Genomic DNA, 24,115 nt, shown 5'->3' on the forward strand with positions numbered 1-24,115 from the left:
GGTGCTACCAAACTTTTCCTATAAAAGGCCAGATAGTAAATATTTTAAACTTTGCAGATCATGTGATTTCCATTGCAGCTACTCAGTGTTGACATAGTAGAGTGAACATAGCCATAGACAATTCATAAATGAGTAAGCATGGCTGTGTTCCAATAAAATTTTATTTACCAAAACCAAAGGATGGGCCATAGCTTGTGGATCCTTGATAAAGCTAATGTTTTCGTCTTCATGTGATTTTGATGCTCCCATTTGTCATAAATGCTCAGTTAGTTCCAGGATTTCCTTATCTCTTTAAACAGCTTCTATTTCCACCGGGCAGTAAACCCATTTAGTTTCATATCCTCAATATGTCCTCTGGAGCCTTGCTTTTGAAAGTACAGTCGACTGACTTGCAACATTGGCATCATCCAGAAGCTGGTTAGAAATAAGAATTTGGGGTCTACCCCAGATCTGCTAAATCAGAATCTGCATTTTAGCAAAGTTTGAGGTGATTCATATGCACAGCACAGTCTGAGAGGCACCACTCTAGAGGAAAAAAAATCACAGTTGTCCCTGTAGAGCTGCCTATAACACTATGATACTATGTGGTTCTTTAAAGAAATTAGGGGAGCAGCCGGCCGCGGTGGCTCACGCCTGTAATCCCAGCACTTTGGGAGGCTGAGGTGGGTGGATCACCTGAGGTAGGAAGTTCAAGACCAGCCTGACCAACACGGAGAAACTCCCATCTCTACTAAAAATACAAAATTAGCCAGGAGTGGTGGTGCATGCCTGTAATCCTAGCTACTCGGGAAGCTGAGGCAGAAGAATTCTGCCTTGAACCCAGGAGGCGGAGATTGCAGTGAGCCGAGATCACACCATTGCACTCCAGCCTGGGCAACAAGAGCAAAACTCTGTCTCAAAAAAAAAAAAAAAATTTAGGAGAGCAAATCAGTGTGTTATCACCTGGTCTCCCTCCTGGATGACTCCTCAATGCCTCTTTGCCTCTGTTAAGGTTGGCCAAGGGACTACTGACAGATGACAGCGTTAGGGCTTTTCCTTTCTTCCCCACTATAGGGTCCATCCTTCCATCTAGTCAGGGTTTAAACTCAGCTAAATAACAGTACTTTCACATTTCTCTTTACATGGCTCTCCTATAAGGCACTGGGTCCCCAAAGTAATCTAAGAACCTAGAGTATCCAATAATTCCATGAGGCAAAGGTACAAATCCACTAGCCACAATCCTGTTCGTGAGGCCATTAGGTAGTTTTTAGAGAGATGTACTACAGCTTACTATGCTCGCGCCCAAACTGTGAGTAGAGACATATTAGGTTGAACCACATAAAAACAGCATCTTGGTAGGTCAATAATTAGTTGGACATCATTCATTTCACGTGGTTCAACCTAATGATAATACAAATAACTCACATTATGGCTTAACTGCTGTCATTTGTTCTTACTTACTATTTGCCTTGTTGGGCAAATTTCACATACCATTATTCTAGCTAGCTCTCAAAATGACCATGTAAAATAAATGTTTGTGTTTCCTATGTTACAGATGGAGAAATAGAAGCTCATAGAAATTGCATACATGACCCAAGATTAAGCTGCAAACTGAGGTTTCAGTTTCAGAATCTAGGTTCATTCCATTGAATCACACTGCTTTTCTAAATATCACTTTTTAAAGTTCAAGTCCAAACTCTAGGCCTATAAAAACAATCATGGCTTACATTTGAGCCAGATATTGAGGAAGGCAAAAGCACCTTAGGTATTCTGTGTCCCTGGCTCCCCCTTTCCCCCTGACATCTGTCTAGGTTACCAGTGCCATCATGTTGCTTAGGGGCGTCCACTAAAGAGGCTTGTTGATCCCTGAACCTCCTTTGCTCTAGACCATTGGCTCTCGGTGGTTTACAACCCTTAGGATGCATCAGAATCATCTGGAGGACTTGTTAAACACAGATTGTTGACTTCAATCTCTAGAATTTCTAATTCAGTAGGTTTGGAGCTAGGCCCAATAATTTGCATTTCTACTACTTCTCAGGTGTACTGGTGCTTCTGGCCCAGGTGACCATAGTTTGAGAACCACTGTTCTAGACCTTGACCTTTCAATCTTCTAGCCCCTTGTTGGAGTTAGGCTCCCCTGGACCTCTGACCCTCCCATTCTTGTTCACTGCTAAACAAATGTGAGTAGCTATTCTGACTTGATAAATTCATGGGATGATAATGATAGGTAATAGTAGAGTGCTTGCTAGATGCCAAGAACATTTGGCACACATTTAGATACATACAAATGCTGTGTTGTTTCATATGCAACCCACTGCGAGAGTAGATTATACCCCACTCAGGGGTGCAATTCTTATGTCGGAGGTGCCCTGGTTATGTTTTTCACTTTTTGGTGGGAAGGTCTTAAGTTTTCCTTAATCTTTATCTTGAGTCCCCTTCTAGTGTTCAACATTCTTTCTCTTGCTGCCCTGGCTTTACTCATGGAGGTCCTCAGGATAGTGTTTGAGCAGGGGGCTGAATGAAAAGAAAACAATGGTCTGCATACACAATAAGTTAAATGTGTGTACAGTGACCGAAAGTCTTGCACTATGTGAGTAACTTGGAGTCCTCCAATGGGTAATGTCTGCACTCATGCATCACCAGAGAGAGGCTAGGTATTTTCTGTTTCTGTCCCCTGGGGCCTTTGGAGTGGTTATCTGCCATATGCCTCTCTCCTAGATCCTTCTCCCTTGGAACTCTCTCTTGATTTCTTACAAGTGGGAGATCTTCAAGTTGGTGACACTTAACTTGGACAGCCCTCATCTCAGTACCTCTAGAAATTCCTGATCACACCCTTGGCTTTAGCCTGTCCACTCCTCCTTTTTGCTGCTTTGATGCCGTAAGCTTGTGTCTTATGTAGGCTTCTATGCCTCTGCACAATAGATACAAATCCTGCCAAAGCGTGATTTTTTTTCTCTAGTTTCTTGATTCTCAGGTATATCTGTACATCATACCTTCAAACCACATTTTGTGTCCTAGGATGGCAAAAGTTTTCATTCACTCAACACACATGTGTTGAATGACTTTTAGATGCCAGACACTGTGTTAAGAATTGGGAGGGCAGATGTATTCAACATGCAATATTTGCCCTAAATAACATCTTGTATTTTATGAAAATCCTGAGTATACTGACACTGAATATCAGGCCATTGAAAACACTTGGATGTTTTTGGTATGTGATAAAAAGAGAAGCTAAATGACTACACTTATTACTGTCCGACTCAAGGTAGCCCCACCCATAAATGAAGTAGGAATGCCTTAGGTGGCATGTTTTTAGGGACTCCTTCCTCAAGGTTGCACAGATTCTTCCATTCTTTGCTGCTTTGGTTGTGGTAAGGGTAATATAAATATAAGAGGATTTGTCTCATATTAATTCAGATTCTGTTCTTCATTTTAGCTATCCAAAGGAATAGGATATAGGTCAAAATAGCTTTTATGTGGGAGAGAAGGTTGAGGAGTTGGTATCTTGAGACTCGGGTGCACGAATCATGGCTCAAGGGGCCAAGAATAACAAGGAGTTTCCTGAAGATTCCTAGCCAGCCAGGAATTATCTTGGGAGTGTTGGGTGTCTGGCAGCAGATGGGAATGAAGATATAGATGATCAAAACTCTAGAGTTAAACTTCAGTTACGCAAATGTTAACAAGATAGTTTTCTTTAAGGGCATGAAATTAGTCTTATTCACCAGGTCCAATTGCATATGTTGTCCCCTCCCCTTTGGCTGAGGACTGTCATTCAGTATTTCAAATCTAGTTTCAAATAAGCATTCCAAAGTCTTAGTGTAGCTCCAGATGAGTAGCCTCTAAACCAGAAATTAAGAGTCTGAGAAATCTAGCTATGAGCTGAGAGGTTGGCAATTGGGTTTATAATTATCAACATTCTCAAATATCTTTTTAAACATAATGGCAAAAGGCTCAAATCATAAAAGTAATGATTGACAGGTCACATTGTGTAAAACAGTTTTTTAAGGCATTCAAAATGCCATAAAGACAATTTTAAATGCAAACAAGCTGGGGATTTTTTTTTTTTGCAAAATGTATGGTAAAAATTTTATATTACATATTTAATAATAAACACAGAGCTCTTTCAAATGAATAAAAAACTCAGTACCCCAACACAAAAAAGGTATATTAATTACGGTAATGCTCACAATTGAAAGAGCAAAATCTCAGTAATTTATTACAATAGACATTCTTTCTCACTCATAAAGTCTAACATAAATACTATGGTGTGAATGTTTGTGTCCCTCCAAAATTCATGTTAAAATTTAATCCCCAAATAGGTTGGGCCTTTGGGAGCTAACTAAGTCATGAGGGCAGAGCCCTTGTGAACAGGATTAGTGCCCTTATAAAGGTGACTCGAGGGAGCTTGTTAGCTCCTGCCCCTTTGCCATGTGAGAACACATAGCAGGCTCCATCTGTGAGGAGCAAGCCCTCATCAGATACCGAATCTGCTGGCACCTTGATCTTGGGCTTCTCAGCTTCCAGAACAGTGAGCAATAAATATCTGTTGTTTACCTAGTCTAAGGTATTTTGTTATAGCAGCACAAATAGACTAGGACAATAAGTAAGTGTTCATTGTTGGCAGGGGACTTTTGTCCCTGTAAAGATTTAGAGTCCCAACTTTTTCCAATTACGGCTCTACCATTTTCAACATGCGGCCTCCAAGATGATTGGATTCCACTTTATGGGCTGATAGAAGAGAAAAAATCTGGGACTGTGCATGGGAGATTTTTACAGGCCAGTAGCTCATGTCATGTCCTATTGCATAGAACTGAGTCCCAGTCACGTGGAAGTGCATAAGTGCAAAGGAAGATGAGAAATATTGTACAGCTCTGTGTCCAGGAAGAAGAAGAAATGGTCGGTTAATAACTTTCTATTCTCTGCTGCAGCAGGTTGCCAAATTTCATGCATTCTAGAAACCAAATATTTATATATCCACTTATAAACACCTGAAGCGCTATGAGTCTTTATCTAAACTGAGACCCTAAGATAATAGATGTGAGAGCATCACAGGGGAGACGAAAGGTGTTCACAAAACAGTCTTGTGACTGAACCGCTCATTGACTGAAAGAATATAAAAAGAATATGAAGTTACAGATGGGAAGAGGATTTATTTAGAGAGAGAGAGTTATTGGTGTTCCATGAGTTCCATACTTCTCCTCTTTTTTAAGCCTTGGAAAGATATTTCAATGAGATCACTTGGAGAACTTAATATATGTCTTATGGCTGAGAAGTCTAAAGAGAGAGAAGCTGAGGTAAATAGCTGAAAGAAGGGAATTAGAGGTTGCGGTTTGGGAAGTAACTTCACTCTTGTCATGGATAGGAGGTTTGTGTTTTGTGCAGGCCAGACTTGAGAACCACATGCCAGGAGAGTTGGTGAGCAGTTGCTTCAAATCCTGACCAACAGGGGCCACTTGGAGAGACGTGGAAACCTCAGCAGAGCAAGCTGGAGATGTACTGCCAGATGCTTAGAGGCTCAGAAAAGCAACCATCCAAAAGGAACATATCTACTTGTGTCAAGAGAATTACAAGTGAGAAATTCTCAGAAATGGGATGGGGAATCTCCAAAGAACCCCCTAAAATGCTCCAGGAGAGAAAACATGAGTTAAGTACTTGTTAGGTCCAGATAGTATTGAGGCCAACTCATGACAGCATCAGTCAAGTCAGAACTCTCTTGTGTCCCTTTCTTTTTCTCCGTCCCCATCTTCCAGTTCCATAGCATCAGAAAGCAAGTGGGCAAGTCAGAGGAGAAGAAGAAGGGCTGGGTGAAGAAAGAAGGAGCCCTCCTTTCTCACTGCAGGAAGCTGCCATGCATGGGCCCATGGTGGAGGGCAGGGAAGGTGGCAGGGGCTGGGGAGCTTTACCTGTAAGTAAAGATTGGAGCTTAGATTACTACTCTGGGCTGGACATTAACTACTGAACCAAACTGTTTTATGAACAAAAGTGACTGAAGAACTTGTATCTGAAGTGACCAGGTTTTCATCCAAGTGGAGGATGGAGGAGTTTTGATGTACAATACAAGACTGCATATGTGATTTCCATATAACCATTTCACCCACACGTGTACACAGTTCAGAAAAGATAATGATAATCTGCTAGCAAGCATACTGCCTGGATGGTGGGATTATAGCCAAGTTAGTTTTCTTTTTTTATGTATATATATCTATGTATTGCAAAGTTCCCACAGTACACCCTGTATTTACCATACAATCAGTATGATGTACATACTGTACAGTGTGCAATAAATTATACATAATTGTAAAATATTCTGCCACATTCCATATTGCAAGATGACTATTTTCCTGATACCTAACATCAAAATCATCGAGTGTAAAAGCCCTAATTATTTGATTTATGAACATTACACTGGACATGAAATCCATTTTTAAGTGGCCATATTGGTATCAGTTCATGTTTTAAAGTGTCATGTTTACAGCAATTGAGTGATCATTTCACAGTGCAGCATCTCTAACCTTTTGCCCTCCAAACATCTGTCTGCTATTTCTGAATTTCTTCTTTCTCGGAGTCCTCATTAAAGTTATCTGTCTTAAAAGAGAAAAACTTTGGCATCCATCTCAAATCCTACATCTTCAAAAAGGTTTCCATCATTGCTCTGTAAATCTCTTCCCCCTCCAGACTCCCACAGTGAAAGAATTTGGTCATATAGCTGAACAATTGAGGAAGTACTGTCTTATGTAGATAGATTGCTGGATGTTAGGCTTATTTTCTTAACTAGACGGAAGTTTCTTGATGCTAAAGTATGCTTGTAGTCTTGCCAAATGCCTTGAGTCCCTAACAGCCTATTCCTACACATCTATTAGGTGCAGAGACAAAGTGTTTACTACATTAAATAAATTTAGGTAAGGGGACATGCCTTCTTCATTCATCTTGTCTGATAACCTCTGCGATCTTGAGGCACTCAGGAAGGTTTTTCTAGCCATGGTTATAAGACTATTATTGTTTTTCTGGTTTGTATTCTCTTGCCTTTTGGTTTCTTGCCTATCAGCACCTTTATCTGATGGCCTGCATTTGAAGGGTTTTGTTGATCCATATGCCAGGTGAGCTCCAGAAAAAGAGGAGGAATGAGAATAAATGTCAGCAAACACTTCAAACCACATACACTTGTTGTTTGACCTGGCTGTGAGTTTGGGAATGATTGGTAGACTATCTGCTTGTGCTATTTCCCAAAAAATAAATTATTTGAGGCATTATCTAATTTTATTATTATCCTTAGATACTTTTTATTAAGCTCCTTCTCTTTATATTTTATAAGGCACTTTATAAATATTATCTCAATTAATTCTCACAACACTGATAAAATATAGAATTATTTACCCTCATTTGCAGATGAGGAAACAGAGAGGTTAAATGACTTTTCTAGAGTCATTCATCAGCTAAATAGCAGTATTGAGATGTCAGTTCAGGTTTACTTGCATCTAATGCCAGCAAAGACTTAAATACAAATGTTAATAGCAGCTTGTTTGTAATATCCCAAACTTGCAAACCATCTGAATGTCCATTGTCAGATGAATAGACAAATAAAATGTGGCATATCTATGTAATGGAATACTACCAGCCATAAAAAGATAGGAACTACTGATGCATACAACATGAATCGACCTTCAAAACATTATCCTGAGTGAAACAAGTCACTAACAAAAGACAACTTGTCTTATGATTTCATTTATATGAAACTTCAAGAGAAGACAGGTCTAGAGATGAAAATCTGGTCAACAATCACTTAGGACTCGGGATGTCAGTGAGGATTTAGTACAAATGAAAAACGGAATTTATGGGAGATGGAATTCTTCATACTGCAGTATAATGGTTGTACAGCTGTTTAATTCAGTAAAAATTATCAAACAAAAGGAGAACTGTATGGTATTTTGAGTTTAATAAAGCTCTTAAAAATGAGTATACCCATTTTAAGTGTACAGATGAATATGCATCACTCCATTCATGACACTGGACATTTCTACCACTTTCATAAGTTCCCGTGTACTCCTTTCCAGTCAATCCCCATTTGTCCTGTCCTCTGGTTTAGGCAGACACTGATAGATGAGTTTGACTTATTCTACATTTTATATAAATGAATCATATAGTATTTTCTCTATTGTGTTTGGCTCTTATCACTCAGTATAATGTTTTTGAGAATTATCTGTATTGCTGCATATATCAGTAGTTCATTCCATACTCCATTGTATGAATATAAATTTGTTTATTCATTCACCTGTTGATGGAAATTTGTGCTGTTTTTAGTTTTTGACGATTATCAATAAAGATACTATGAACATTCATTTACAAGTCTAAGTAATACCTGTTGACTTTATTGATTTTCTCTATTAGTTGTTTCCTATTTCACTTACTTGTGCTGCTAATTTATTTTCTTTCTTCTAATTTTGAGCATAATTTGCTTTTTATTTTCTAGCTTCTTAAGAAGGAAAATTAGATCATTGATTTTATACCTTTATTTAGTTCTAATATATCCATTTAACTTCTTAATTTTCCTCTAAGCATGCTACGGATTTTTATATATTATATTTTCATTATACTTTAGTTTGAAATTCTGCCTAATTTCCTTTATGTGATCTTCTTTAATCCATAGGGTATATAAAAGAGTGTTGCTTTGTTACCAAATATCGGGCGATTTGTAGATAGCTTATTGTTATTGACTTTTAATTTAATACTGTTATGATCAGAAAACATGTATTACAGTTTATATTCTTTGAAACACATTTAAATTTGTGTTATGGCCCAACATGAAAAAGAATGTCTATTATACAGTTGTTGGATGTATTATTCTATAAATGTCATCTAGGTCAATTGGATGTTTCAGGTTGTCAAATCTTCTATAAACTTACTGATTATTTAACTATTCTATTAATTATTGAGAATGAAATATTAAAATCTCCAACTGTAATTGAGGGTTGATCTATTTCTCTGGTCATATGAATTTTTGCTGTATGTATTTTGAAACACAGTATTAGTCATCAACACATTTAGGACTATTATACCTTCTCAAGGAACTGATCCTTTCCTCATTATGCTATTTCCCTTTTTATTTATAATTAGTTCTCTTTATTTTGCCTTCTGTTGGCCTTACAGTTATGTAACCACTATAGCTTTTTGATGCATAGAATCTCTTCATTTTATATCCAACCAGTCTATATGTTTGATTTTAAAGTGTATGTCATGTAAACAGCATCTATTTATATCTTGCCTTTTAATATAGTATGTAAATCTCTACCTTTTACTTGAAGCATGTGTTACATTTACATTTAATGTAATTATTGATAAGGTTAGGTAGAGACTGTCATCCTGGTATTTGTTTTCTACTTGTTCCTCCCATTTCTTTTTTACTCTATTATGCCTTTTCTGCCATCTTTCAGTGAATTTAATTCCATTCTATTGGATACAAGTATTCCATTTTATCTTGTTTATTGACATTTTAGATATATTCCTTTGTGTTATTTTTAAATTATTGCTCTAGAGATTAAATATATATCTTTAATTTATTACAATGTACCTTCACATTATATGCCTTCCCAAACAATGTAAGAATGTTAACTTAGTATAATTCATATTACCACTGTACTATCCTTTATGTTCTTATGTAGTTTACTTTCATCATGATATAAATTCTTATTTTTGTTTTAAAGTCAATAATCTTTTACAGATATTAAAATACACACATATAAATATAAATAGTAAAGATAATAAAAACATTTTATATTTACTCTTTCTGATGTTTTTCATTCTTTCCTGTAGATTTGAATTCCATATGGCATAATCTCCCATTCAGCATGATAAACTTCTTCTAGTACTTCTTGTAGTGTAGGTATGTTGGAGTGAATTATTTCATCTTTTGTATATCTGGAAATGTCTTTATTTTGGCTTCAGTTTTGAAGAATGTGTTTGCAGAATATGAGCGTGTCAGCTGACAGGGCTTCTTTTTCTTTCAGAATTTTAAAGATGTCTTTATATTGTTTTATGCCCTATACTATTTCTGATGGGAAGTCAGCCATCATTGTACTCTGGTATGTAATATGCCTGTGTTTTTTTTCAACTTGGCTGCTATAATATAAAGATTTTCTTTTTAACTTTAGTGTATTTGAGTATGATGTATTTAGATTTGGTTTAATCTTTATCTTTTTTCTTGTGGCTTACAAACATTTTGAATATATGACTTGAAATCTTCTATCAGTTTTGGAAATTTTTAGCTCTTCAGCCATTATCTCTTCAAATATTTTTTCTTTTTTTAAAATTTCGTCTTAAAAAAAAATGGGATACACGTGCAGAACGTGCAGGTTTGTTACATAGGTATATGTGTGCCATGGTGGTTTGCTGGACCTATTGACCTGTCCTCTAAGTTCCCTCCCCTCTCCCCCCACCTCCCAACAGTCTCTGGTGTGTGTTGTTTCCCTCTCTGAGTCCATTTCTTCTCATTGTTCAACTCCTGCTTATGAGTGAGAACATGCAGCATTTGGTTTTCTGTTTCTGTGTTAGTTTGCTGAGGATGATGGCTTCCAGCTTCATCCATGTCCCTGCAAAAGACATGATCTCATTCCTTTTTGTGGCTGCATAGTATTCTGTGGTATATATGTACCACATTTTCTTTATTCAGTCTGCTATTGATGGGCATTTGGGAGTGTTCCATGTTTTTGCTATTGTGAATAGTGCTGTAACAAACATACGTGTGCATGTATCTTTATAGTAGAATGATTTATGTTCCTTTGGGTGTATAACCAGTAATGGGATTACTGGGTCAAATGGTACTTCTGGTTCTAGATCCTTGAGGAATCACCATACTGTCTTCCACTAATTTAGATTCCCACCAACAATGTAAAAGCATTCCTATTTCTCCACAGCCTTGCCAGCATCTATTGTTTCCTGGCTTTTTAATAATCACCATTCTGACCGGCGTGAGATGGTATCTCATTGTTGTTTTGATTTGCATTTCTCTGATGATCAGTGATGTTGAGCTTTTTTTCACGTGTTTGTTGGCTGCATACGTGTCTTCTTTTGAGAAATGTCTGTTCATATCCTTTGCCCACTTTTTGATGGGGTTGTTTTTTTCTTGTAAATTTGTTTGTAAATTCTGGATGTTAGACCTTTGTCAGATGGGTAGATATCAAAAATTTTATCCTATTCTGTAGGTTGCCTGTTTGCTCTGATGATAGTTTCTTTTGCTGTGCAGAAGCTCTTTAATTTAATTAGATCCCATTTGTCAATTTTGACTTTTGTTGCAATTGCTTTTGGCATTTTTGTCATGAAGTCTTTGCCCATGCCTATGTCCTGAATGGTATTGCCTAGGTTTTCTTCTAAGGTTTTTATGGTTTTGGGTTTTACATTTAAGTCTTTAATCCATCTTGAGTTAATTTCTGTATAAGGTATAAAGAAGGGGTTCAGTTTCAGTTGTCTGCATATGGCTAGCCAGTCTTCCCAGCACCATTTTCTGAATAGATCCTTTCCCTATTGCTTGTTTTTGTCGGGTTTTTCAAAGATCAGATGGTTGTAGATGTGTGGTGTTATTTCTGAGGTCTCTGTTTTGCTCCATTGGTCTATATGTCTCTTTTGGTACCAGTACTATGCTGTTTTGGTTACCGTAGCCTTGTAGTATAGTTTGAGTTCAGGTAGCGTGATGCCTCCAGCTTTGTTTGTTTTGCTTAGGATTGTCTTGGCTATACGGGGTCTTCTTTGATTCCATGTGAAATTTAAAATAGTTTTTTTCTAATTCTGTGAAAACTTTCAATGGTAGTTTGATGGGAATAGCATTGAATCTATAAATAACTTTGGGCAGTATGGCCATTTTCATGATATTGATCCTTCCTATCCATGAGGATGGAATGTTTTTCCATTTGTTTGTGTCCTCTGTTGTTTCATTGAGCAATGGTTTGTAGTCTCCTTGAAGAAGCTAACATCCTCGTTAGCTGTATTCCTAAGTATTTTATTCTCTTTGTAGTGATTGTGAATGTGAGTTCATTCATGATTTAGCTCTCTGCTTGTCTATTGTTGGTGTAAAGGAATGCTTGTGATTTTTGCACACTGATTCTGTATCCTAAGACTTTGCTGAAGTTGCTTATCAGTTTAGTTTTTCGGCTGAGATGATGAAGTTTTCTAAATATAAAATCATGTCATCTGCAAACAGAGACAATTTAACTTCCTCTCTTCCTATTTGAATATCCTTTATTTCTTTCTCTTGCCTGATTGCCCTGGCCAGAACTTCCAATACCACGTTGAATAGGATGGTGAGAGAAGGCATCCTTGTCTTGTACTGGTTTTCAAAGGGAATGCTTCTAGCCTTTGCCCATTCAATATGATATTGGCTGTTGGTCTGTCATAAATAATTCTTATTATTTTGAGAGATGTTCCATCACTACCTAGTTTATTGAGAGTTTTTAGCAAGAAGCGATGTTGAATTTTATCAAAGGCCTTTTCTTCATCTATTGAGATTATCATGTGGCTTTTGTCTTTGGTTCTGTTTATGTGATGGAATACATTTATTGATTTGCATATGTTGAACCAGCCTTGCATCCCAGGGATGAAGCTGACTTGATTGTGGTGGATAAGTTTTTTGATGTGCTGCTGGATTTTGATTCCCAGTAGTTTATTGAGGATTTTCAGATAGATGTTCATCAGGGATATTGACCTGAAATTTTCTTTTTTTATTGTGTTTCTTCCCAGTTTTGATATCAGGATGATGCTGGCTTCATAAAACGAGTGAGGGAGGCATCCCTCCTTTTCAATTGTTTATAATAGTTTCAGAAGGAATGGTACCAGCTCCTCTTTGTATTTCTGGTAGAATTCAGCTGTGAATCCGTCTGGTCCTGGGCTTTTTTTTGTTGGTAGGCTATTAATTACTGCCTCAATTTCAGAACTTATTATTGATCTATTCAGGGATTTGACTTCTTCCTGATTTAGGCTTGGGAGGGTGTATGTGTCCAGGAATGTATCAATTTTTTCTAGATTTTCTAGTTTATTTGCATAGAGGTGTTTACAGTATTCTGTGATGGTAATTTGTATTTCTGTGGAGTCAGTGGTGCAATCCTCTTTATCATTTTTTATTGTGTCTATTTGATTCTTCTCTTTTTTCTCTTTATTAGTCCAGCTAGCAGTCTATCTAGTTAATTAAAAAAAAAACAGCTCCTGGATTCATTGATTTTTTTTGGAGTGTTTTTCATGTCTCTATCTCCTTCAGTTCTTCTCTGATCTTAGTTATTTCTTGTCTTCTGCTAACTTTTGGATTAGTTTGCTCTTGCCCCTCTAGCTCTTTTAATTGTCATGTTAGGGTATTGATTTAAGACCTTTCCACCTTTCTGATGTGGGCATTTAGTGCTATAAATTTCCTTCTTAACACTGCTTTAGCTGTGTCCCAGAGATTCTGGTATGTTGTCTCTTCATTCTCATTGGTCTCAAAGAACTTCTTGATTTCTGCCTTAATTTCATTATTTACCCAGGAGTCACTCAGGAGCAGGTTGTTTAATTTCCATGTAATTGTGTGGTTTTGAGATGAGTTTCTTAGTCCTGAGTTCTAATTTGGTTGCACTGTGGTCTGAGAGACTGTTTTTTATGATTTCAGTTCTTTCGCATTTGCTGAGGAGTCTTTTACTTCCAGTTATGTGGTCGATTTTAGAATAAGTGCCATGTGGCACTGAGAAGAAGCCATATTTTGTTGATTTGGGGTAGAGAGTTCTGTAGATATCTACTAGGTCCACTTGATCCAGAGCTGAGTTCAAGTCCTGAATATTCTTGTTAATTTTTTGTCTTATTGATCTGTCTAACACTGACAGTGGAGTGTTTAGCTCTCCCACTATTATTTTGTGGGAGTCTAAGTCTCTTTGTAGGTCTCTAAGAACTTGTTTTATGAATCTGGGTGCTCCTATATTGGGTGCATATATATTTAAAATAGTTAGCTCTTCTTGTTGAATTGTTCCCTTTACCATTATGTAATGCCCTTGTCTTTTTTAATCTCTGTTGGTTTAAAGTCTGTTTTGTCAGAGACTGGATTGCAACCCCTGCTTTTTCTGCTTTCCATTTGCTTGGTAAATTCTCCTCCATCCCTTTATTTTGAGCCTATGTGTGTCTTTGCATGTGAGCTTGGTCTCCTGACTACAGCACACCAATGGGTCTTGACTCTCAAATTTGCCAGTCTGTGTCTTTTAATTGGGGAATTTAGCCCATTTACATTTAAGGTTAGTATTGTTATATGTTAATTTGATCCTGTCATCATGATGCTTTTTAGTTATTTTGCAACTAATTGATGCAGTTTCTCCATAGTGTCATTGGTCTTTATATTTTGGTGTGTTTTTGTAGTGGCTAGTACCAGTTTTTCCTTTCCATATTTAGGGCCTCTTTCAGGAGTTCTTGCAGGGCAGGCCTTGTAGTAATGAAATCCCTCTGCATTTGCTTGTCTGGAAAGGATTTTATTTCTCCTTTGCTTATGAAGCTTAATTTAGCTGGATATGAAATTCTGGGTTGAAATTTCTTTTCTTTAAGAATGTTGAATATAGGCCCCCAATCTCTTCTGGCTTGTAGAGTTTCTGCTGAAAGGTACCCTGTTAATCTGACAGGCTTCCCTCTGTAGGTGACCTGGCCTTTCTCTCTGGCTGCCCTTAACAGTTTTTCCTTCATTACGACCTTGGAGAATCTGATGATTATGTCTCTTGAGGTTAAACTTCATGTGGAGTATCTTAATGGTGTTCTCTGTATTTCCTGAATTTGCATGTTGGCCTGTCTTGCTAGGTTGGGGAAGTTCTGAATAATATCCTGGAGTATGTTTTCCAGCTTGTTTCCATTCTCCCTGTCTCTTCTGGTACTCCAGTCAATCGTAGGTTCGGTCTTTCTATGAAGTCCCATATATCTTGGAGGCTTTGTCCATTTATTTTCATATTTTCTCTAGTCTTGTCTGCATGCCTTATTTCAGCAAGGTGGTCTTCAAACTCTGATATCCTTTCTTCTGCTTGGTGGATTCAGCTATTGATACTCGTATATGCTTCACGAAGTTCTCATGCTCTGTTTTTCAGCTCCATCCGGTCGTTTATATTCCTCTCTAAACTGATTATTCTATTTGTCAATTCTTCCTACCTTTTATCAAGGTTCCTAGCTTATTTGCATTGGGTTAGAACATGCTCCATTAGCTCAGCGTAGTTTTTTATTACCCATCTTCTGAAGCCTACTTCTGTCAATTCGTCCATCTGATCCTCCGTCCAGTTCTGTGCCCTTGATGGAGAGATGTTGTGAGCGCTTGAAGGAGAAGAGGCACTCTGGCCTTTTGGGTTTTCAGCATTTTTTCATTGATTGTTTCTCATTCATGAGTTTGTCTAGTTTTGGTCTTTGAGGCTGCTGACCCTTGGATGGGGTTTCTATGGGGGCTTTTTTGTTGTTGTTGTTGATGCTGTTGTTGTTGCTTTCTGCTTATTTGTTTTTCTTTCAAAGGGCAGGTCCCTCTTCTGTAGGGCTGCTGCGTTTGCTGGGGGTTCACTTCAGGCCCTATTCATCTGATTATCTCCCATGCCTGGAGATGTCACTTCAGGAGGCTGGAGAGCAGCAAAGATGAGTGCCTGCTCCTTCTTCTGGGACCTCTGACCTCGAGGGGCACCAGCCTGATGCCAGTAGGATTGCTCCTGTATAGGGTGTCTGACAACCCCTGTTGGAGGGTCTCACTCAGTTGGGTGGCACCGGGAATAGGGCCTGTTTAACAAAGTACTTTGTCCTTTGGTGGAGGGGGTGTGCCTCGCTGGGGTGAAACCCATTCTTCTGGGCTGCCTGGATTCCTCAGAACCACCAGGAGGAGAGGCTAAGTCTGCTGGTCCACAGATACTGCAGCTGCCCCTCCCCCTAGGGGCTCAGGCCCAGGGAGATCCGAATTCTGTCCCTGAGCCTCTGGCTGGGAGTTATTGGAGATCCTGCAGGGAAGTCTCACCCCAGTGAGGAAGGATGGGTCAGGGTCAGGCCTGAAGAGGCACTCTGGCCACAGACTGCCACAGCCAGTGTGTTGGGCTGTGGGGGACAAGTCTTGGAACTAAGCCGTCTAGCCTCCCTGGCTCCAGCAGGGGAAAAGCACAGCCTGGAGCTATAGACATGGGTGCCGCCCTTCCCCCGCCCATGAAGCTTAGTGTGTTAGGCAGTGGCGAGTCCCAGTGCTGGCTACTGCCCCTCCCCCAAGGAGCTCAAAGGGCTTAGACGGCAGGCAGCGGGCAGCGGCAGCTGCAGTGCTGGTCGCCCCTCCCCGCAGGAGTTCCGTAGGCTTAAGCAGATTCCAGCTGAGAGGCTGTTGAGAATCTGTGTGTTCCAGGGTTGTGATGCTAGGCCCCCGTGGTGTGGGTTCGCGAATGGGATCTTGCAGTCCGTGAGTTGTGCAGCTCCGTGGAGGAAGCACAGTTTCCCTGGCTGGGTAGTGCACTCACTCATTGCCTCCCTTGGTTGGGGGGAGGGGGCTCCCCTGCCCCGTGTGGCTCTCAGGTGGGCCGCTGCACCACACTGTTCTTCTTTCTCTCCGTAGGTCATGCCAGCCTCCTAGTCAGTTCTGATGAGAGAACCTGGGTGCCTTGGTTGCCGGTGAAGGATTCACACGCTTATTATGGTTTTTTTCGATGGGAGCCTCCAAAGGCCCCACTGTTACTAGTTGGCCATCTTGGCCCCACCCCTCCAAATATTTTTTTTCTACCCCCATTCTCTCTCTCATCAGGTTTTGGAATCTCAATAACAAATGTATTAGATCATTTGATATTGTTCCTCAGTTTTAATTTGCTTTCTTTTTTTTTTTCTTCTCTGTGTTTCAGTTTGGTTGACTTTCACTAAACTTTCTTAAATGTTGCTGACGATTTCCTGTGATTTTCCTGTGGCTGTAAAACCTTTTGAATAAATTAGTCTTTTGTGGTATCATGTTTTTTATTCCTAGCATTTCTACTTTGTTTCTTTGTATAGTTTTCATCTCTCTGCAAATATATCTCCTCTGTGAATACATGCTATCTTTTCCACTAGATTCTTGGACATATGTTTATAGTTATTTTAAAGTTCCTGTCTTAAAATTCCAATATTTCCTATCTTCACCCTGGCTCACATGGTTTTGCTTCTTTGGTAGTATTATTTTAAAAATTATATGCAGACGTTGTCTATTAAAAACTTGTAGAGACTGAACTAAATAATACTGCTCTCAGAAAAAAAGTGCCTCTTTCCCTGTAAGGCCACTATTTGAGGAAGCTTATTCTATCACTGATGTAGTTTATGTGGGTTTATAATTTAATTAGTTTAATAGAGCAGTAGTTAGATTCTATTTACCACTAGCTTTAAATATTTTGAGAGCATCATAAAGAATTTCATTTCAGCAGGACCTGGAATATCTGGTGACTAAGTTGCTCAATTTTTAGCTTTCCAAAGTGTGAGAATTATTTCTTTGCCTAACAGCCCATGGCATACAGCTTCTTCAGTTAATAGTAAGTTCCTTTTTTGGGGGGTGTCACTCTATTACCCAGGCTGGAGTGCAGTGGTGCAATTATAGCTCACTGCGGCCTCGAACTCCTGGGCTCAAGTGATCCTCCCACCTCAGCCTCCTGAGTTGCTAGGACTACAGGTGCACACCACCATGCTTAGTTCTCTGAGAATTTCTTCTGCTCTTCAATTCTACCAGGGTGAAGACTAGGATGAGGGAAGCAAGGCAGCTAGGGCACAAAACTCCCAGGGTTGTGTAAGTGTGGTGTTGGGGTGGCAGATTTAATGTGTTAGACTGAGGGGGTGAAGATAACTAACAGACTTCTTAGTTGGTTGATTGAAACCTAGGCCTAAATACGTACAATACTAAATAAGTTTTGAATGCCAGACATGTCCTGATGCAGAGGAAGATATCCAAAGTCTTAGAACTGGAATGCTAGAGTGGGCTTATCATGTAATATCTGCTCATACGCTTTCTCTTTATGTCCTCTGCAGCATTATAAGCACACACTTTTTACTACACTGTGAAAAAAGAATTGCTAGGGGTGTCCAGCTTCCTTAAAGAAATTTGTCATTGTCATTCTCTAAAGGCCATTAATAACAGTGGGAACTGCTGTCATTAAACTAGGCTCCCTGAATTCAGCAGGGATGATAAAACTTCAGTGTGGCAGATACTTCATGGTGGCACTGAATTGCCAAACACTGAGTGAGCATGGTTACTATAATGAGCAGTAGAGCCAAAGTTGTTATAAGAATAATATGACCTGCAGAGATCTTTGATGTTGGCTTGTTGTTATTACAATGTTCCTATAAATGAAATAGATGGGCAACCTACTAAGGTCTTACTTGAGTTGTTTAAACAGAGAAACTCTAAGCCTGGTGAATAGAAGTCTAATCACCACACTAAGTATCATGACCCTTCATCAACTTCCCAGACTTGAGCCGGTTCACAGACTGAGAATACTTTGAATGAGAGGGAGGTCAGGTTTCCTTGAAGAAAAACCATGCTATACAACCAACGATCTATACTATCAATCTTATTTGCCATTCATACAGCAACCAGTGGATGTTTTCCAAGGTGATTGTGAATTGGGGAAGGGGGGACTAATCGGGCTTGCTCTGAATTGATACCACAAATGCCATTGTACAACTATAGTCAGAGCAGAGGATCGGGAAGGCCATGTGATCAGCGGAGTTTTGGCCCATCTCACAGTGGGTCTAGTGGGTCCCTAAACTCAGTTTTTTTAGGTACCCAGTCCTAGAAGGAATAATTGGAATAGAAATCCTAGAAACTTGGAGAATATTCACTTTGGTTACTTAGTCCATGGAATAACAGCTATTGTGGAAGCAATGGCCAAGTGTAAGCCACTGAAATTGTCTATCTGCTGAAAAGGTAAGCCAAAAGCAAGACCACATTTCTGGATGGCAGAAATGAGGGATACCATCAAGGGACTTGAAATATGTAGGCATGATGATTTCTACCATATCTCCATTCAACAATGCAGAAGATACATACACCTTGGAGAATGACCATGGATTACTGTAAAGTTAATCAAGTGGAGAAGATGGCTTTTCCTGTGGACATCAGTGAGTCTTTTTCATCAGCCACTGCCATTCTTGCCCAATGGACTCACAAAGTTGCCATGGTGACATGGAGGAAGGTTATGCATGGGCTTAGTAACATGGCCGCTCTTGAAGTCCAACCTGGCTCCTGTCACTAAAGAGTACCCAATCTGCCAACAACCTGCTAAGCCTGTGCTATGACAATATAGCATCATTCCCCAAGGGCATCAGCTAGCCACCTGGTGGCAGGTTGTTGACATTGGAGTACATCCATCATGGAAGGAGCAGAGCTGTATTCTCACTGGAATGGATACTTACTGCGAATACAGATTTGCCTTCCCTACCTACAATATTTCTACCAAAACCATCACCTACTGACTTGTGAATGCCTTATTCACTGTCTTAACATTCAATACAGCCTAGTGTCCAAGGATCTTGTTCTATAGCAAATGCAATATGGCCATGGGCACATGCTCATGGGCTGACCACATCTTTCAATCACCCATAAAGTGACTGGCCTGACAGAATAGTGGAATGGCTTTTGAAGCTCAGATATAGTGGCTGCTGGTAGCAAAACCTTGCAGGTCTGGGACAGTGTCCGCTAGGAGGTAGTATACGCTCTAAGCCAGCAAGCAATATATGGTTTCTTCCATAGACAGGATTCATGGGACCTTGATGAGGGGTGGCCATAGCAGGGACTCCTCTCATTATTATGCCTCGTTACCTGCTAGAAACATTTTTGCATCCCTCCCCACATCTGTGTGAACTGCTGCTCTAGAGGTTTTACTCTCCAGAGGAAGAATGCTTACACCATTGGGCACAGCAATGGTTCTCTGAAAATGGAAGCTGAAACGGACACCTGGCCATTTTGGAATCTTCAAGACAGTGAATCAATAGGAAGAGAAAGGGATTTTTCTACTGACTGGGGTGATTGAACCTAACTACCAGGGTAAAATGGGGTTGCTATGATACATGACGGGAAGGCAGAATATGTCCAGAATGTAAGAAATCCCCTCTGGAACCTCTCAATACTCCCCTGTCCTATGACTACATTAAACAGAAAATAACAACCCAATATAGGATTGCTTATGGTCAAGACTCTTCAGGAATGAAGGTTTGAGTTACCCCATCAGGCAAGGAATCACAACCCGCCAACACATCTGCTGAGCACAAATGCAATGTAGAATAGGTACTGCAAGAAAATAGTTATAAATACCAGCAATGACCACCTGACCAGATGCAAACACAGACATGAGGACTATAGTAGTTTTGAGTAGTTCTTTCTTATTTTGATATAAAGTATTTGTGTATATATAAACCAATTTTTTTCTCTTGTCTTTTCCAAACCTCCTACCATCTGACATACATAAGATATGTTAATAGTACTTAAACTTCTATGTCAGTATTTAAATTATAGGATATTAAATAGGCAATGTGACTCAGATAGAAGAATGAAATCACTAAAGATGGGAGGGAGGATAATGGCATCCCCGTGATGTGCACATTCTAATACCTGGAACTTGTGAATATAGTAGGTTACATGGTAAAGGAGAATTGAAGTGGAAGATGGAATCAAGATTGATAATCAGCTGACCTTAAAATAGAGAGATTGTCTTGGATTATCCAGGTGGCCCAATGTAATTGTAAGGAAGCTTAAAAGTTAGAAGGGGGTGGTACCAGAGAGGTCGCAGCATAAGAAGGACTCGCCATTCTATATTGCAGGCTTTGAAGTAGAGAAAGGAAGCTATAAGACAAAAATGTAGGCAGCATCTAGAAATTGGGAGAGGTAAGGAAATAAATTCTTCCTTAGGGCCTGCAGAAGAAACACAGCCCCGTTGACACCTTGATTTTAGCATTTTGGACCTCTGACCTCCAGAATTATAAGATAGTACATTTGCATTGTTTTAAGCCAAGAAGTTTACGATAATTTGTTAAAGCAGCAATAGGAACTAGTACAGAAGGTTAGCACGTTTTGAGTTGCAGGAGAGGCACCCGGTGCTGCAGCAGCTGGTGTACTTTATCACTTGGCTGTTCTCACCTGATTGTTGTGAGGCAGCAGCTGGGTCACAGTTTCTCCAGCTCCCATTGGACCCTCCTTCAGCTTCTCCAAGTGAAGAACACCCTCCTGGCTCAGATGGATGTTGAGCTCTGTGACAAAGGGTACCACCTTCTCCTACAAGACACCTGCACCATCACAATGGGAGGGTTGGATACACTGAGAGATAAGGGTGGGCCCAGTCTATTCCATGGATTTCAGCTCATCATGGGTTCCAGTTTTTCCTTTTTCTCCCCTACTTCATACCCATTTTCCCTTCCTGACACCTGTCCTTCTGACTTCAGGCTCAGGCATCAGATACAAAGCTGTTAACAATGACCTAAGGTGAAATTCATACAATAAATCCTGATTATATGTACCACTCCTAGTGTTTTTTTTTCCTCTCCTTGAACTCTGATTGATGCAGTTATGCATTTAAGCTACTTTCATCACTGTTGTTAAGGATTTTCCAGCATTTTTATGTGTTTAGAGCAGGAATTAGATCCTTCTATGTCAGCTTATTCTGCCGTGTTGAATATAAGTCTTCTAAGTTTGCTTTATATTGTTAAATTTATAATTTCCCTACCTCCTCCCAACATGCCCTCTGTTATTTAGTGGAGAAGCTTATACTTGGGCACGGATTCATCTATCTTTGAATTTACCAGTCTCACTTTGTCTCCACGAATTCTGAATAAAAGCAGCATGAGAGTAAAACACAAGTAAAACTACTTGTGTCTCATGTTTTGTTTTTTTTTTTTCCAGATCCTGTCAGACATGGGAAAAATCTGTTTACAACCACAGAAATTTGGCTCCAGCTCCCACCTGTTATTGTTCTGGAGGCTCCATTCCTCTCAGTCCTGCTGTTCGCTCCTCGGTGACAGGTTCTCGGCCTCCTTAAATGGAACCAATTGAGCATCAGCTTTACTCTGCTGCAGCATTTATCAATGCCCCATAGGAAGATGGAAGGCATTTGTAGGCTTAGATCCAGGACACACTGAACTCCTTTGTCCCATAATTTTCTTATCACTTCATACCCTTTATTACTATTGCCTTTGGACTGACCTTGACCACTAGCCCTCCCATTCAAAACAGGAGTCTTCTCAGACTTGAAGCTTAGCTCCCTTCAGTGCACATGTCTTCTTACTCTTCTCTACCCCAGATGAGCATAGATGGAAGAAATGAGCAATTTTTACCTCCCCTTCTCTGATCAAGAATCCTAATCATAATATCTTGGTGTCCAAGTCCCAAATTCACTGCATGAAAATAGGACTAAATTCCCTGAAGCAGGTAAACAAATTGGTCACCACCATGACTCTTTTTTTGCTTTTGTTTTTTTAGAGATGGAGTCTCACTCTGTCACCCAGGCTGGAGTGCCATGGCGCGATATCACCTAACTGCAACCTGCACCTCCTGGGTTCAAGTGATTCTCCTGGTTCAGCCTCCTGAGAAGCTGGGATTACAGGCACAGGCCATCACCTTGGGCTAATTTTTTTGTATTTTTAGTACAGGCAGGGTTTCATCATGTTGGTCAGGCTGGTCTCGAACTCCTGACCTCAAGTGATCTGTCCTCCTCAGCCTCCCAAAGTACTGGGTTTACAGGTGTGAGCCACTGCACCCGGCCCATCATGACTCTTGATAGCTGCTTAAAGTATAATTTATCTGTAGTTGTCTTCATCTGTTTACATTGCTATAAAGGTAATTTATTTTTTAAAAAAGAGGTTTATTTGGCTCACAGTTCTGCAGGCTGTAGAAGAAGCATCTGCTTCTGGTGAGGGCTTCAGACCACTTCTATTTGTGGCTGCAGGTGGACGGAAGCAGGCATTATATGGGAAGAGGAAGCAAGGGGAAGGAGGTGCCAGGCTCTTTTCAACAATCAGTTCTTGTGGGAACTAACAGAGCAAGAACTCACTTATCACCATGAAGATGGCACCAAGCCATTCATGAGGGATCTGGCCCCATGGCCCACACACTTCCCATTAGGCCCCACCTCCAACACTGAGGAATCAAGTTTCAACAAGAGATTTGGAGGGGACAAATATCCAAACTATATCAGTAGTGTTAAGCAAACGCCAGATTGAGAGAGGTATAAATGCATTTCTACATATAAACTGGCCAACACATGGTAACCAAGGCAATTTCTGAATGCTGATCTAAAAGGACAAATGTTTCCTGATGGTCTGTGTGCTTGGTCCTGCAGGGTCTCTTGCCTCCCTCACAGGACAGGAGACTATGGACCAAGGGTCACCTGGGCCTCCAGACTACATGAATCTCTACTACCTTTGCCTTTTTGATTATGCACCAAAAATTTGCTTGGGAGAGTTTAGACACATTAGACAAATACCACATTAGGAGTAAAGTGGCATATTGTTCAAGAAAACATCTGGTATGGTTTTATCATTGCTACTAACACATTGTATTACATTGGGCAAGCCATTTTATCTTCCTTGGCCTCTGTTTCCTCACTTGTGAAGTGAAGTAATTAGACTTCATACTTTAAAACACTTTCTAACACTAACAGTCTGCTATTATCTAAATAATGGGAAAAACATGTCAGGGTAGGGATAACAAGTTCTTAAACTATAGTGCCTTATGGGGAAGACTGGCTCTGGGCAATCCTAATTGTGATATACTGATATAGGAACTCACAAAGAACAAAACTTGAAGATAGAATCACAGCAGCTCTGGTCTACAGAAGGAAAGATAAATCTGGATATATTCAGACACAAATCAATCAACTAAATAAAGTAGCAAAAGAGAAAGAGAGGAATTCAGCTTGCACTTACATATTTAACCAATATTTATAGTTTTAGCCACTGTGCTAGTCACGAGGGAACGAATCGTGAGCAAAACAGCCATGGCCCTTACTCCGGTGAGCTTACGTTCCAGCAGAGGAGAAAGACATTGATTGAATAATCACACCAGTGGATAATTACAAGCTGTGATAAATGCTATGAAGGAAAAGCACAGAGGCAAAGTAAGGGGTCAGGGCAAGCTTTCCCAAAAGTGTCATTTGAACTGGGATCTGAATAAGTTAACTGGAGGCTTATGCATTGTATGATAAACATTGCT

General features: G+C 39.7%; 2 annotated features.

Annotated features, from left to right (window-relative positions):
• Positions 15,334-16,108: an enhancer, noted in NCBI's record as "OCT4-NANOG-H3K4me1 hESC enhancer chr15:61656438-61657212 (GRCh37/hg19 assembly coordinates)". NCBI's record gives its function as "activates a minimal SCP1, AML or CMV promoter by ChIP-STARR-seq in naive H9 embryonic stem cells {active_cell/tissue: H9 hESC(naive)}" and the evidence as "EXISTENCE:reporter gene assay evidence [ECO:0000049][PMID:30033119]".
• Positions 16,109-16,883: an enhancer, noted in NCBI's record as "OCT4-NANOG-H3K4me1 hESC enhancer chr15:61657213-61657987 (GRCh37/hg19 assembly coordinates)". NCBI's record gives its function as "activates a minimal SCP1, AML or CMV promoter by ChIP-STARR-seq in naive H9 embryonic stem cells {active_cell/tissue: H9 hESC(naive)}" and the evidence as "EXISTENCE:reporter gene assay evidence [ECO:0000049][PMID:30033119]".

This window comes from Homo sapiens, chromosome 15, assembly GCF_000001405.40.
Source record: "Homo sapiens chromosome 15, GRCh38.p14 Primary Assembly".
NCBI classification, from domain to species: domain Eukaryota; kingdom Metazoa; phylum Chordata; class Mammalia; order Primates; family Hominidae; genus Homo; species Homo sapiens.